Source organism: Homo sapiens, chromosome 2 (assembly GCF_000001405.40).
Source record: "Homo sapiens chromosome 2, GRCh38.p14 Primary Assembly".
Classification (NCBI taxonomy): Eukaryota; Metazoa; Chordata; class Mammalia; order Primates; family Hominidae; genus Homo; species Homo sapiens.
This window is the reverse complement of record NC_000002.12, coordinates 115,758,043-115,772,089: the sequence shown is the minus strand read 5'-3', so window position 1 is coordinate 115,772,089 and position 14,047 is coordinate 115,758,043. Positions and strand designations below refer to the sequence as shown.

Sequence of the window (14,047 nt, the reverse complement as noted above, 5' to 3'; positions counted from 1 at the left end):
AGGAAAACACATGCATTCTTTTCTCTTTTTATTTGTATCCTTTGGAATCACTTTAACAAGGACAGCTCTTGTAAATGAGGAAAAAAAAAAACCCACTAAAATATATGTAGTGACCGCCATCACTCTCCATAATGAAAATAGCTTGAAATCAATAATTGTCTAGCTTGGTCTCTAATTAATGATTTTTATCTACTTACTGATAATATGAGAGAGCAAAATGTTTGCAAAAATTTAGTAATTTCATTTAGTAAGGTACTTCAAGCAAATAAATATATTCTGAGTGAACTAGTAAGCTCTCAAACATAGGTAAGCGCCAAGTACTGCAAAGGTGACCTGGCTGACTGTTGGCTGCCAAGGCCCCAGTCCTGTCATTTCTCACTTTTCAGGCACGACAACTTTAAGTAGAATCATGTAGCACAGCAAGGGAAGGAAAGGGGGTAAAAAGTCATCAATGCTGGCATGCATTACTGTTTAGGCAGTAAATTTTTGTACTATTTTTTGGAGAGCCAATTTGGCATTACACATCAAAACCTAAACAAATACATTCGTATGGATATACCCTGCCTGGGTATCTTTTAACATCTAGAAATATAATTTTGCGGGAAGAATTATAAGTAAAGTGTTTATAAGGGCTTTTAACTCTGAATCATTTCTAACATCAAAATATAGAAATAACTTTAATGATGAATAAACTTGGATCATTTAAATACAGTACAGGCCGGGCGTGGTGGCTTATGCCTGTAATCCCAGCAGTTTGGGAGGCTGAAGCAGGTGGATCACCTGATGTCAGAAGTTCGAGACCAGCCTGGGCAACACGGTGAAACCCGCCTCTACTAAAAATACAAAAATTAGCCAGGCATGATGGCGGGTGCCTGTAATCCCAGCTACTCGGGAGGCTGAGGCAGGAGAATGGCTTGAACCTGGGAGGAGGGGGTTGCAGTGAGCCGAGATCGTGTCACTGCATTCTAGCCTGGGCAACAAACTGAGACTCTGTCTCAAAAAATAAATAAATAAATAAATAAATAAATAAATACAGTACAGTATATCTGCTTGCTGTAATGCTGAGCAGCTATTAAAATCACATTTAAGAAAAATATAAAATGTTAAATATTAGGAATACAATTAAATGTTGTAAGAAAACACTCATTAGTTATTCTTTTAATGTTACAAATCTATATTATGCTTTAATTGCAATCTTTAGGGGAAAATCATATATTTCTCATGAAAAAAGAATGTAAAATATACACAATAATGGATTAAAAGTGTGAGAATATGAGGTGATGATATTGTGGGTGATTTTTATATACTCCTTTATCAGTTTATTAAGTTTGAATTTTTCAGAATTTTATAGTGCATATATGTCAATTAAGCAGTCATACACAATTCATAAATAGCTTTTTTGTTAGCTATTTTTAAATTGAGGCAAGGTGATTCAAACCATTTCCTAAAATAACATATGTGATTGTGTTTGTGTGTGTTCAAAGTTATGTATAAATTGTATTTACCTAGCACTGACTTCTGACTCATTAGCAAAGTAGACTAATTTTAATCAATTGCCAAAATATTCATAAATAATCATGCAGTCATGTTCATTTCTCAATGAGGCAAACCACAAATTACCTAAACAGCAACCAGAATAGAAAAAAAATGTTTTCTACTTCAATGAAGGCTGTGTTATAGTCCCTATATAGAAGAGGAACAAAGTAAACACAATGTAAGAACTTTATTAAGTTTTTCTTCTGAACATTTCAGAAATACAGGAATTTGCCTACATATTAGGCTGGTTTGACTGAGAAACAGAAGGTATTTCTTCCCTAGGCTTATAAAAAAATTCTTGGTTTGGGTGTATAAATATTTTAATTCCTGCATGTCAACATCACAACCCTACCCAACGCCATACTTTTACAAAGACATTATTTCTATTATTTATTTGTTGAATAATGGATACAAAAATATAGGTAGATAGAATGGGTAAGATCTAGCATTTGAAAGCACAGCAGGGTACCTACAGTCAAGGATAGATTGTCTTCTTTGGGGAATTACATACACAAAGACGTACAACTTTTCCTATCCTTCACTATCTCTTACAAATATCTATAATTTGTAGGTAATCTTCTTTACTACTTATATTTTTCACAGAGCTTCTAGAATATAAAATACTGAAATTTAAAAATTCAATGAAATGTCATAATCAGTTATAAGATTTGGGAAGTGTGATATTTTAGGGGCCAAAATAGTTCTCTAATATTTGTGATAACCAAGTTGACTCTTAATTAGCAAAAGTTTATAAAGTAAAGTAATTTGCTAGTCTATTTCCTTTCAGTTTCATAAAAAAAGTTCCCTTAATTATACCTGACTTATATAATCATTTTAATAGCTAGATATAAAAACATCCAAAATTTTATTCATCTATAAATGCATATATAAATGCATCTATAAATGCATTTATTTAGAGCATAAATAGGATCACATTATACATTAGTTTATAACCTGTTTTTCCACCTTAATAATATACTATGAAAATCAATCTACATCTGTACTGTGGAAATTGTATGTATTCCAAATTATTTCTTTCAGTCGTAATTAAAATTAAAGTTAAAACAATGACAACTATTTTAATTACACAGACCCTGAACAAGTTTTAAATTTTAAATTAGTGACATAAGATTTTGAGACTCTAAAGCATTAAGCTGTCCAATACAAATGTATATGGATAATGGTAATCATTTGAGAATGTGCACAGGTCTTAAAGGTTCTAAAAACATAAAATTAGTAAGGTCAGTTAGGTATCTTTGCCATATTTATATTTATTCTATATTTTGTAAGTATGAAATTACTCTTAGCTAGTTTGTAAAACACTCATGAAGATCCCAGTTTAGCCACAGTGACTTTTCATTAGAAAGCCTTTAACCTGTGTGTGAGACTAGATTATTTATTATATGATTTTGAAGGATGCTTTATTTTCTCATGTATGCTTGCTCTTGGAAATTAAATTCAGATTGACTCAATAACCTTGTCAAATTTAAACTAACTACCTGAATTTACTAATTTTTTTATAATAAAACTGTATAAACCCTTCATATTCTTTTGATTAGATAAAAAGTAACCTTTCCCCTCTTTTTATCGGAAAGTCTAAAAAAAAAACATAGATTATATTTTACAACATGAAATCTATGTTATTTAACATAAAACATCTATTTTATCCTGTTTTTTAAAAATCTGCACTGTATTTGCTTGTGGGGATGTGCCATAATTTATTCAACCATCAATTTTTGATGGACATTTAGGTTCCTTTGAGTATTTAAAACTTTTATAACACCTGGAGAATATTACTTGTACAAAATAGGTTATATATATGTTCATTGAATAAAAAATCTTCTCTAGATTATCTCAGGTCCTCAAAAGTTGGGTGCTTTTAATTTATTAAATTCTCTATCCCAAAGCCCTCAGTTCATAGGACACACATGTAACTCATTAAATTGTACTGAGTGTTGAGACTGTTTTGTGGGAAGGTAAGGCTTGAATGTATGGCTATGGATGGAGGTCCTCTTCCTAAGATGTCTGTGAGTTGTATATATGGCTGGGTTTCACCACCATGAACTAGAGGTTTAGAATGCCACAAGAACTGGGCCTTCGGGGACATGAGGACAATGAAATCAAAACATGGAAAAAAGCCAGCACTTACCTGGATGAGGAACATAGCTACGTGGTGAAATTCTCCACGTCCCCCTTGCTTAACAGGCACTGTCATAAAGAATTTGCTGCCGTCTCTAGAAAACACGGGCTCCTCATTCTAAAATACAGAAGAGCACAGAACAATCTCAGAAAGGCACATGCAATCTGTGCTGCCTACTACTGTTAATTCCTGCATGGGTTATACCAAATATTGATTTATAATTAGTTAGGAAAATGGGCACATTATTTTAAAAAAATGAATGTATGCTATTTTTTAAACTTTTTTAAAGTAAATCTGATACATTACATATGTATGTGGTTGAGTTGTGGGAAGGATAGGAGAAATTTGTGCATGGTGGATATGAATGATTTATTATCAGACTAAAGACACTTTTTAAATTGGTTCAAACAAGAACTGTCATATCTTCACATAAGATTGTGTTTAGTGAAATATCCTTCAAAGATAAAGAACATGCAAACATCTGCATCAGTTTATCAAAATAAATCTTTTAATTACAAAATTCTGTAACATATTTTTTGAAATCCTTTCTTCAGCAACTGTACTTACTTGAAGATTCTTTTCTGATAATGTATTCATAAATTAACTGAAAATACAAAAGACGACAGGCCACGAAATTGAAAGGATTCTATAGAAAGTTATTTAATTCAAATTTACCATCCTTATTGCTCATCTCTCCACAAACACACAAACACAAATGCCCACCTACAACTGTGACCCCATTTGATAATTTTTAATTACACTCTGGTGGCACATTAAATCAATAGAATTATTTTTGAAAATTAAATGATGAAAGCCACATATATATATACACACACACACTATATATTTATGTGTGTGTATATATACACACACTATATATATTTATGTATATATATACACACACACTATGTGTATATATATATACACACACACACACACATATATGTATGTAGAGAGAGAGAGATACTGCTCTTTCTTCAGGAAAAACATTAAGAAAACACATTTATCTGATGAAACATTGAGTTTTTCCTGCTGGACTAACGAGAGGTGGTTATATATGGTATAAAGAAAGGCTTTGATATGGGTCCTGAGTAGCTCTGCACAATGGCCTTCAAGCCCTTTTAGATGACTTGGCCCTCTACTGTCTTTCTGATCTCATCTTTGTCATTCTCTTGCTTTCTTCACTGGGTTCCTGCATGATCCTGCTCCAGGGCTCTTGTACTTTGTATTCCCTTGGTCTGGATCTTCCTCTTATCTCTTTCAGGTCTCTAATCCGAAATCTCCTTATCAATAAGGTGTTTCCTTATTACCCTATATAAAGCGAGATCAGGAAAGTCAGACCATCCAACTCTATCTGACATCCTTCATCTCCTTTTATTTTCTTTCTAGTTTTCCATAGCACCTGATATAGTTTGGATCTGTGTACCACCCAAATCTCATGTCGTATTGAAATCCCCAGTGTTGGAGCTGGGGCCTGGTGGGAGGTGACTGGATCACGGGGGTGAGTCCTTCACGAATGGTTTAGCAGTAACCGCTGGGTGCTGTCTCATGACAGTGAGTGAATGAGTTATTACAAGACCTGGTTGTTTAAAAGTGTATAACACCTCCCCCATCCCTTTCTTGCTTCTTCTCAGGCCACGTGAAGTGTTGCTCCCCATTTGCCTTCCGCCATGACTGGAAGCTTTCTGAGGCCTCCCTAGAAGCAATAACTACTATGCTTCTGTACAGCCTGCAGTACTGTGAGCCAATTAGACTTCTTTTCTTCATACATTACCTGGTCTCTTATAGCAGTACAAGAATGGACTAATACAGCAACTAACACCATTCAACGTATAATTTGTGTATGTATGCGTTTGTTTGTATATGAATGTATGTATGTATGAGACTGGTGCAAAAGTAATTGTGGTTTTTACCATTACTCTTAATGGCAAAATATGTATATGAATGTATGTACATATGTACATACTGTATATAAATGTATGTATGAGATTGGTGCAAAATTAATTGAGGTTTTTTCCATTACTTTTAATGGTGGGGGTAAATCTGGTGGATAGAGTGATATATATATATATATACATATATATATACATATATATATATATACACACACACACACACACACACACATATATATAATGAGTATTTTTGTTCATTGTATCCATACATTCATCTATTCATCAATTATGAGTTGCGACCTACCGTGTAATGGCAAAAACCTCAATTACTTTTGCACTAATCTCATATTTACATACTTATGTATGTATGTATGTATGTAGTTCTCTGTAATGTAAGCCCCATAGGGCAGGAAACTTGTATTTTTCACTACTGCATCTGCAGCACCTGAAACAGTGACTATCATGTAAATTGAGCTCAATAATTATTTACTGAATGAATCAGTCAATTAATAACTATTTTAATATACTGAACAGTTTGATTTTAGCTTCATTCACAATACATCTCTTGACAGTAAAATAAGGATATTTTCCTTAACTGCCTTATGAACATTCATGAAAATATAAGTAACATATGTAATAAATTTAAAACTCTGAGATAATATACCATTCAAGGTTGGAAAAATTGTATAACTGAGCATATAATGGATACTGACAAAATACTTGACTGAGTGAATCACTTCTTTCAACTATAATAAAGTCAATAATTCTATTTGTTCCATCACCTGCTCCTGTGGGATATTTCTCTCTTGGAGTTTCTTTTGTCTGGAACAACTTTTTCGTCTTCCTTTTTCTGCTAAATCTTACTCATTTTTTACTTATTCTCATGAAACAAAAGAATTTCCAAGATTTCCCTAGTTAGGAAATCTCTCCTCAGATATTCTAAAAACTATCTTGTTTTCATCTTTATCATGGCTTCCAATGCACTCTATTATATTGATCTATTAACTTGTTGGCTTCCTTCACTAGGCAATTAATAATTGAACTAAATTTTAAATGTTATCTGTTTAGCTCTATTGCCTAAGACACAGTAGGTCCCAACTCATAATTGGTGAATAGATGAATATATGGATACCATGAACAAAAATATTAGTTTTATATATCACTCTATCCACCAGATTTACCCCCACATAGCAACTCCTCCCTTACCGTTCTCCCTTTGTACTTCTATCAAAAGATGAATAGCTTTTTTCTCATATACAGATATATAAGCATTCTTCCATTTACATTGCCTCCTCCCCAGTTCTAGTACCTTAGAAGTAGTTCAGAAAAGGAATAGATGGGGGCTACAATCTCATATGCCTTGCTGGACTAAAAAATCTGCCCCCAACACTTGACAATGTCTGGTGATAAACATTCAGCTCCACACAGATGGTGCCAATCTCACTGCTCAGTTTCATGACATTATACAAGTCAGTGTTTTTGACACACAAGATGGTAAGCTGGGGATATTGGACTCTATTCCCTTGACCAAATATATTACACACTGGTCATCTCAATTGCAAGTCCTTTGAAAGCTAGGCTAAACATGCCTACTTCTCTTTGCCTTTTCTGCTATGCAAAAAGACAGTATATGATGATTCTATTAAATTTATAATTATCTTAGAAATTTGCTGCTTCTTATTACTGCTACCATGCTCATACATTAAATTTCATATAACTCTAAGTATTTCATAAAATTCCCTTAGAGCATCTGAAGAAAAAAATCAACTGTGATAAACGACCAATGGCATTTACTAACTGAATAATTAATAACTGGATGCTTTGTTTTTTAAAAAAGTTTCTATTAAACATTCATAAATTTGGGATTTAAAAATTAGATAGCATAATCTCAAAAGAACATGCATTATGTTGACATATGTTAAACTATTATGAATGTCACTGGCAATCAAAGTAATAGCAAAAGATGTTTAATAATGGAGGGAAATTCAGAATGCATAAGTATTATGTGTTATATATTGTCCATTGTTCTTATTTTCTGTATCTAACCGAAATTTGTGAGTCTATTATTAGCTGTAAAATCAGGGTTTTTTTTCTATTTTATTTTGTACATTGACCAAGATAAAAGTATTTATATTAATAGATAACCATGTGCAAAGACACATATACTCGTAATATATATACAAACATTTATCTGTGTCTATCCATCTACCTACCCTTCAGACAAACAATTATTTATAATCCTTTTTACTTTTCTTCTTAATCACTCAGTAAGTATCTATTAAGCTCTTCTTACATATTGAATTCTTACATATTGAATTCTATACTAGGCGTTTGGTTTACAATTAGAAGTAAAAAACATCCTCATGTCCTTGTATCTTAGCAAAAAAAAAAATCATAGCAATAATTGTGTGTTACACAAAGATTACACTTGACTTTAATATAACTTTTATTGGGAGATGTGATTTGGTTAGGCTAGTTAGAGGAAGTGACTTCTTACATAGGTGATTTAAGCCAAGGTTTGAAAAATAAATAGGCTTCATATAAGAAAGTTTGAGGGAATTTTGTTCAGAAGGAAGGGCACTTATGAAGTCCCTGTGCATATGAGGGTCCATGTAGCTAGACTGGAGAAAACAGATCAAATGATTCTATGACTCAGAGCTGAAAAAGCTTTCAATTAATCCCTTGTGGACCTTTTAAGGATGTTGGTCTTTATCTGAAGGACAGAAAGAAGAGAGAAAAGTTCTTTGAGTTGTGGAAGTGCAAGTATGAGGGGAATGTTAGTAGCAACAATTAAATGCATATTTTAAAAAGGTCACTCAGTTAGCCTGCAGTGTGAACAGATTGGCAGGTGCCTGAGGGGTTGAGACTTGCTGGATCTGTAGTTCGAACATGGACAGTGTTTGTGAATTAGAGAAAAGTAAATTGACTTGAGAGATGTTTGAAAGTAAAATCTGTACATATTAATTATATATAGATAGATAAAAATGAGAAAAGATTCAAGGATGACTATTAGGTAAATAGTTTTAACATCTGAATGGATAATTATGTCATTGAGTCCTAAGATAAAAATTAAGAAGACTGACTAGAAAAGGAATGAGTTCAGCTTAGACCTGGGGAGTATGAAGCTACTTTTACAGATTTAGGAGGAGATGGCAAGCATAAATTTGGATATTTCAGAACTCACTGAAGTGTCTGGATAAATGTGAAGGTCTCAAAATATGGGTGGTCATTAACGCCATAGACGTAATATAAAATAAAAGAGGGCTTTAAAGAACAAAAAGAAAACCAAACCAAACCATACCACACATCTTATTTCCCTTTGCAAAACTCACTAATGTAGTTAAGAGTAAAATGAATTCAGCTATATTTAAATAAGCTATTTGTGTTGTTTCCTTCTGAATTGTCCAGGATGAGACCATGTAACAGTGATTAGGTTTTTAGTCCGTCATGTTCATCTTGATTCCAGCCTCATTTATGTCACAAACTAGAATTGTGAGCTAGAATACAACTAAGAAGAGAAGTATTTATTTGAATATCTCCATGATCAATTTATGTAAAGGTCAGGTCAATTTTTCAGACAATTTGAACAATGCTAATGATTTCTAGTTTGGTTAGGTCCTGAGTTTTTCTCCTTCATCTACACAAGAGTGTACTTACACAGAATATTTTAAAAAGTGATCCTGGCAGCTACTCTGCAATTTATGTCTCCTAAAAAAATGGAAGTAACCTTTTCACAAATGATACCATAGAAAGCCCAAGTCATAAGTGATCCTTTTAATGAAAAAGGATCACTCTGTCAAACCTAGCAAAGCCTTAAACTCATACTTTTTACAGAAAGTTATCACATAAAAAATGGGTGAACAGGATGGTCACAATGGCCAAGATGTGACAGACCACCTATACTGTACCTGCTGAGAGAGCCACGTATCTGATGTCATCTCATATTTCTGAAACAAAACAATTAACTCCATGAAGCATCTAAAGACCAAAATGAGCATATATAAATTTAACTTTTTTAAAACACGGTTATCAGTTTTTTTTCCCTCTCTTCAACTGGTGAAACACCATGAGAGATTTCATTGTCATTATTGATTTAATCTGAATGAGTAAGTAGAGAATAGGGACTAAACGATAATTTAATTATAAAGTCTTTTCTTTGGTGAATTCTTTCAGAATTCCCAGCAGTACCTCACCAGGGAGAGAAGATCATTTTCCAGCTCTGTTTGATTACCTCATTCAACTGTTTTGAACCACCAGACACTGTCTCTTTTCACCTCTAGGCATCATTGGGAGACAAAATTATTAAGTCCTTCAAAGCAACTGGGCAAACAGCCAGGAATAAAACTAAAAAGTGGACATTCTTTCAATATTCAATTCACTCATAATCATGGCCTTCTTTTTTTCTTATCAGTAGTAACTCAGTCTTTGAGAAAAAATATCAAACATTTGAAATGACAAAATTATGTGTCCCTTCAAAACAGTCTTGCAGTAGATCAGAGCCAAAATCATATTGCAAAAAGCAAAATTAGACTAATTTAACCTCGTTAAATATGTGTAGAAAAAACAAGCTTTAATAATACCGTTTACATGTAATGACATGAAATATCTTGCAGTTTTCTGAAAGAAATGATTCTATAATAAACGTATTCAAATTAAGAAAGATAAGTAACAACATATTAGGGGCTTTCCTATATGCAGAGGTACCCATCTCAAATTGTTAATAATAAATTATTTATATGTTTTTAAATACTAATTTCTTTTTCTAAATCCATATTATGATTACATTATAATTGGTCACTTTCTCTTTTCAGGGCACTTTTTTTTTCAATAGATCTTCATTACGTGAAGATATCAAAAAAAATCTAACTGAATCATTTCTTTATTCTCCATTTACACCCTAGCATTAACCATTCTTGATATCTGTAAAGCACAGAAATAAAATAGATACCAATGCCACTGCTTGTTAGTACCACCAAGTTTTGGTAGAACCCCTGAGAGCTCAAAACTTCATTTGTTATTGTTTGTCTCATTATTTCAATTAACAGAATGCAAAGTCTTTTTATCTCCATACGTAGAATAAAATACAATATCAATAAGGTGTCAGATCAATAGTATGATAGGATTACTGGATCTATTTTCTATTAAAGCATTTTAATTTATCTTTGCAGTTATCTGTATGCAATGAAATATTTACAGTATCTTTGTCTAGAAGGGCTTTCTCTAACTACAATATATGTAGGCTAATTTTTAAATTTTTACTTTAATTTTTTATGTAAAAATAAGATGGTGTCTCATTATGTTGCCCAGGTAGGTCTTGAACTCAGCCTCAAGCCATTCTCCCCACTTGGCCTCCCAAAGTGTTGGAATAACAGGTGTGAGCTACCTATGCCTGGCCTGTGCCTTTTTTTTTTTTTTTTTTTTTGAGACAAAGTCTTGCTTTGTTGCCCAGGCTGGAGTGCAGTGGCCCGATCTCGGCTCACTGAAACCTCTGCCTCCCAAGTTCAAGCAATTCTCCTGCCTCAGCATCCTGAGTAGCTGGTATTACAGGCGTGTGCCACCATGCCCGGCTAATTTTTGTAGTTTTAGTAGAGACAGGGTTTCACCATGTTGGCCAGGCTGGTCTCAAACTCCTGGCCTCAGGTGATCTGCCCACACTGGCCTCCCAAAGTGCTGGGATTACAAGCATGAGCCACCACAGCCGGCCTGTAGGCCAATTTTTAAATGACTTACTAATCAGCCGAATAAAAACCATCCAGAACACTTTAACAAATACGTGGAGAAATTCTAGTCAATCTATAATCTAGCCAAAAGAAAGAGATGAATTTTCTAGTAATACAAGCTTAATGAGAAGAGCATCAAGTGGTTGATTTAACTATCTCATTTCCACGACTATGCTCATCATTCTACTCAAAGAGAAATGTCTGCCTCTTGAGGGCTCTCCTTCACAGACCATTTAAATAATATGTTTTAAATTTTTCACATATAGTGAAATGCACAGATTTTAAGTGTATAATGTGATGAGTTTGACAAGTTTATCCCATCAAGTTATAGGATCTTTATTTTTCCCCAAAACATTAACTCATGCTCCTCCCCAGAGGTTCTCAAAAGGCAATCACTTCTGATCTTTTTCCCCATAGACAGCATATGCCTGTGTTAGAAAATCAGATAATTGAAATCATGCATTACATACCTATTATGTACTCTGTAGTGTGAGGTTTCTTCCACACCACTTGTTTTTGAGATTCGCTCATATTGTTGAGCGTATCAGTATTTTGTTTCTATGGCCAAGTAGAATTCCATTGTGTAGATAAGTCTTACTTTAAAGTCTATTTCCTGTTAGTGGACAATTAAATAGTCTCTACTTTTTAGCTATTGTAAATAAAGCTTCTCTACAGACTATTTCTTACAAATCCTTTGGTGAACACATGTTTTCATTTCTTGTGCAAATACTTTGTAATGGAATTATAATGTATGGGTTTTTTTTTGTTTGTTTTTTGTATTTTTTTTTTGTGACGGAGTTTCACTCTTGTTGCCCAGACTGGAGTGAAATGGAATGATCTTGGCTCACAGCAACCTCCACTTCCCAGGTTCAAGCAATTCTCTGCCTCAGCCTCTGGAGTAGCTGGGATTACAGGCATGCGCCAACATGCCCGGTTAATTTTGTATTTTTAGTAGGGACGGGGTTTCTCCATGTTAGTCAGGCTGGTCTCGAACTCCTGACCTCAGGTGATCTGCCCGCCTCCGCCTCCCAAAGTGTTGGGATTACAGGCATGAGCCACCGTGCCCAGCCTATAATGTGTTTTTATATATGAATGTATATGTGTATATATATGTGTGTGTGTATATATGTCTTCTTATTTATATATAAACAAAAAAATTGTGTTTACATATGTTTAACTTCATTTGGAACTAAAATATTATTTTAATGTAATCATATCATTTTACATTCCCACTTGCAAAGAACGAGAATTTTTGTTTTTCACGTCCTCTTTAACAGTTAATGTTGTCAGTTTTTTGTTATTTTAGTGTAGTCATTCTAATTATGTATAATATACCATTATAATTTTAATCTATATTTTGCTAATGTCTAATGAAGTTGAGTGCTTTTATTTTTTTTTTTTTATATAGAAATGGGATCTCATTTTGTTGTCCAGGCTGGTCTTGAACTCTTGGCTCAAAAGATCCTCTCATGTCAGCCTCCCAAATAACTAAAATTACAAGGATGAGCCACCATACCTGACCAAATGTTGAGTACTTTTTCATATGTTCATTCTTTTCCTTATAAGTAACTGTTCACATGTTTTGATGTTTTTATGAGGTTGTGTTTTTATTATTGAGTTATAGAATTTCTTTATATGTGTTTTTGTCTGATACCCATTTGGCAAAATATTTTCTTCCAGACTGTAGTTTGCATATCCTTTTCCCTAATGGTGTCTTTGATGAGAAGTTTCTAATTTTATTGATGTCCAATTTATTGTTTCATAATTAATGATTTTTTGGCTTATTCAGTATAGTAAGGTTTTATTTCATATTTTCCCCTAGAACACTGACAGTATTAGCTCTTAAATTTAGGGCTATGATTTATCCCAAATTGATTTTAGAATATGATATGAGTTGTCAAACATCAATTTTTTTTATCCAATCGGGATGCCAATTTTTTCAGCACCATTTTTCTCCATTGAACTGCTTTAGCACCTGTGTAGAAAATCAATCAATCATATAAATGTGGGTCTGTTCTCTGCAAACCATTCAATTTAGTTGACCTATTTGTGGTCCTTATGCCTCCACTAGCATCTCCAGGTTTTTGTAGCTTTTTATTTATTCTTGAAATCAGGTAGGGCTAACTCCTTCAATTTTATTCTTTTACAGGATTACTTTGACTTGTTCAGGTATTTTTTGTTTCCATATTAATTTTAAAAACAGCTTGTCTGTTTCTACAAAAAAAATCAGAAGGGACTTTAATTGGTATTATATTAAAATTATGGTTAAATTTGGGTAGAATTAATATCTTAACAATATTAATTTTTTCTATTTAAAAACATGGAATAGCTTCCATTTATTTAGGTCTTTCAAATGCCTTTTAGCAATGTTGTAGTATTCAGTATTGGGGTATTTCACAATATTTGTTAAGTTTATAATTGTGTATTTAAAGTTTTAAGGGTTTTAGTGGTATTTTAACTGATTTTTTTTCTTAATATCACTAACATTTAGAAATTATGTTTTGTTGTTTCTTCATTCTTTATTTTGAAACAAGTACAAACTTATAGACAAAAGTTAGAAGACTGGTTTGAGAAACCTGAATGCCCTCTGGACTTACTTGCCACTTGTTTATATTTTACCCCATTTGCATCCTTACAAATTGTGATTTTGTATTCTAGGGTTTTTTGTAGGCTTTTTTGTTAATGTATACAGTTATGTTATCTATAAATACAGATTTACTTCTTCCTTTCCTAACACTATACTGATTCCTTGCTAA

General features: G+C 33.1%; 1 protein-coding gene across 24 annotated transcripts in view; it reads right to left on the bottom strand.

Annotated features, from left to right (window-relative positions):
* Nucleotides 1-14,047, bottom strand: part of DPP10 (dipeptidyl peptidase like 10) — a 1,403,140-nt gene that overhangs the window by 73,691 nt on the left and 1,315,402 nt on the right. For 21 of the 24 annotated variants that reach the window (NM_001321910.3, NM_001399849.1, NM_020868.6 and 18 more), the window contains 2 exon segments: nucleotides 9,480-9,518; nucleotides 3,686-3,793 (listed from right to left, as the gene is read on the bottom strand). In NM_001321910.3, the coding sequence (NP_001308839.2) occupies nucleotides 3,686-3,793; nucleotides 9,480-9,518 (147 nt within the window). 24 annotated transcript variants of the gene reach the window in all.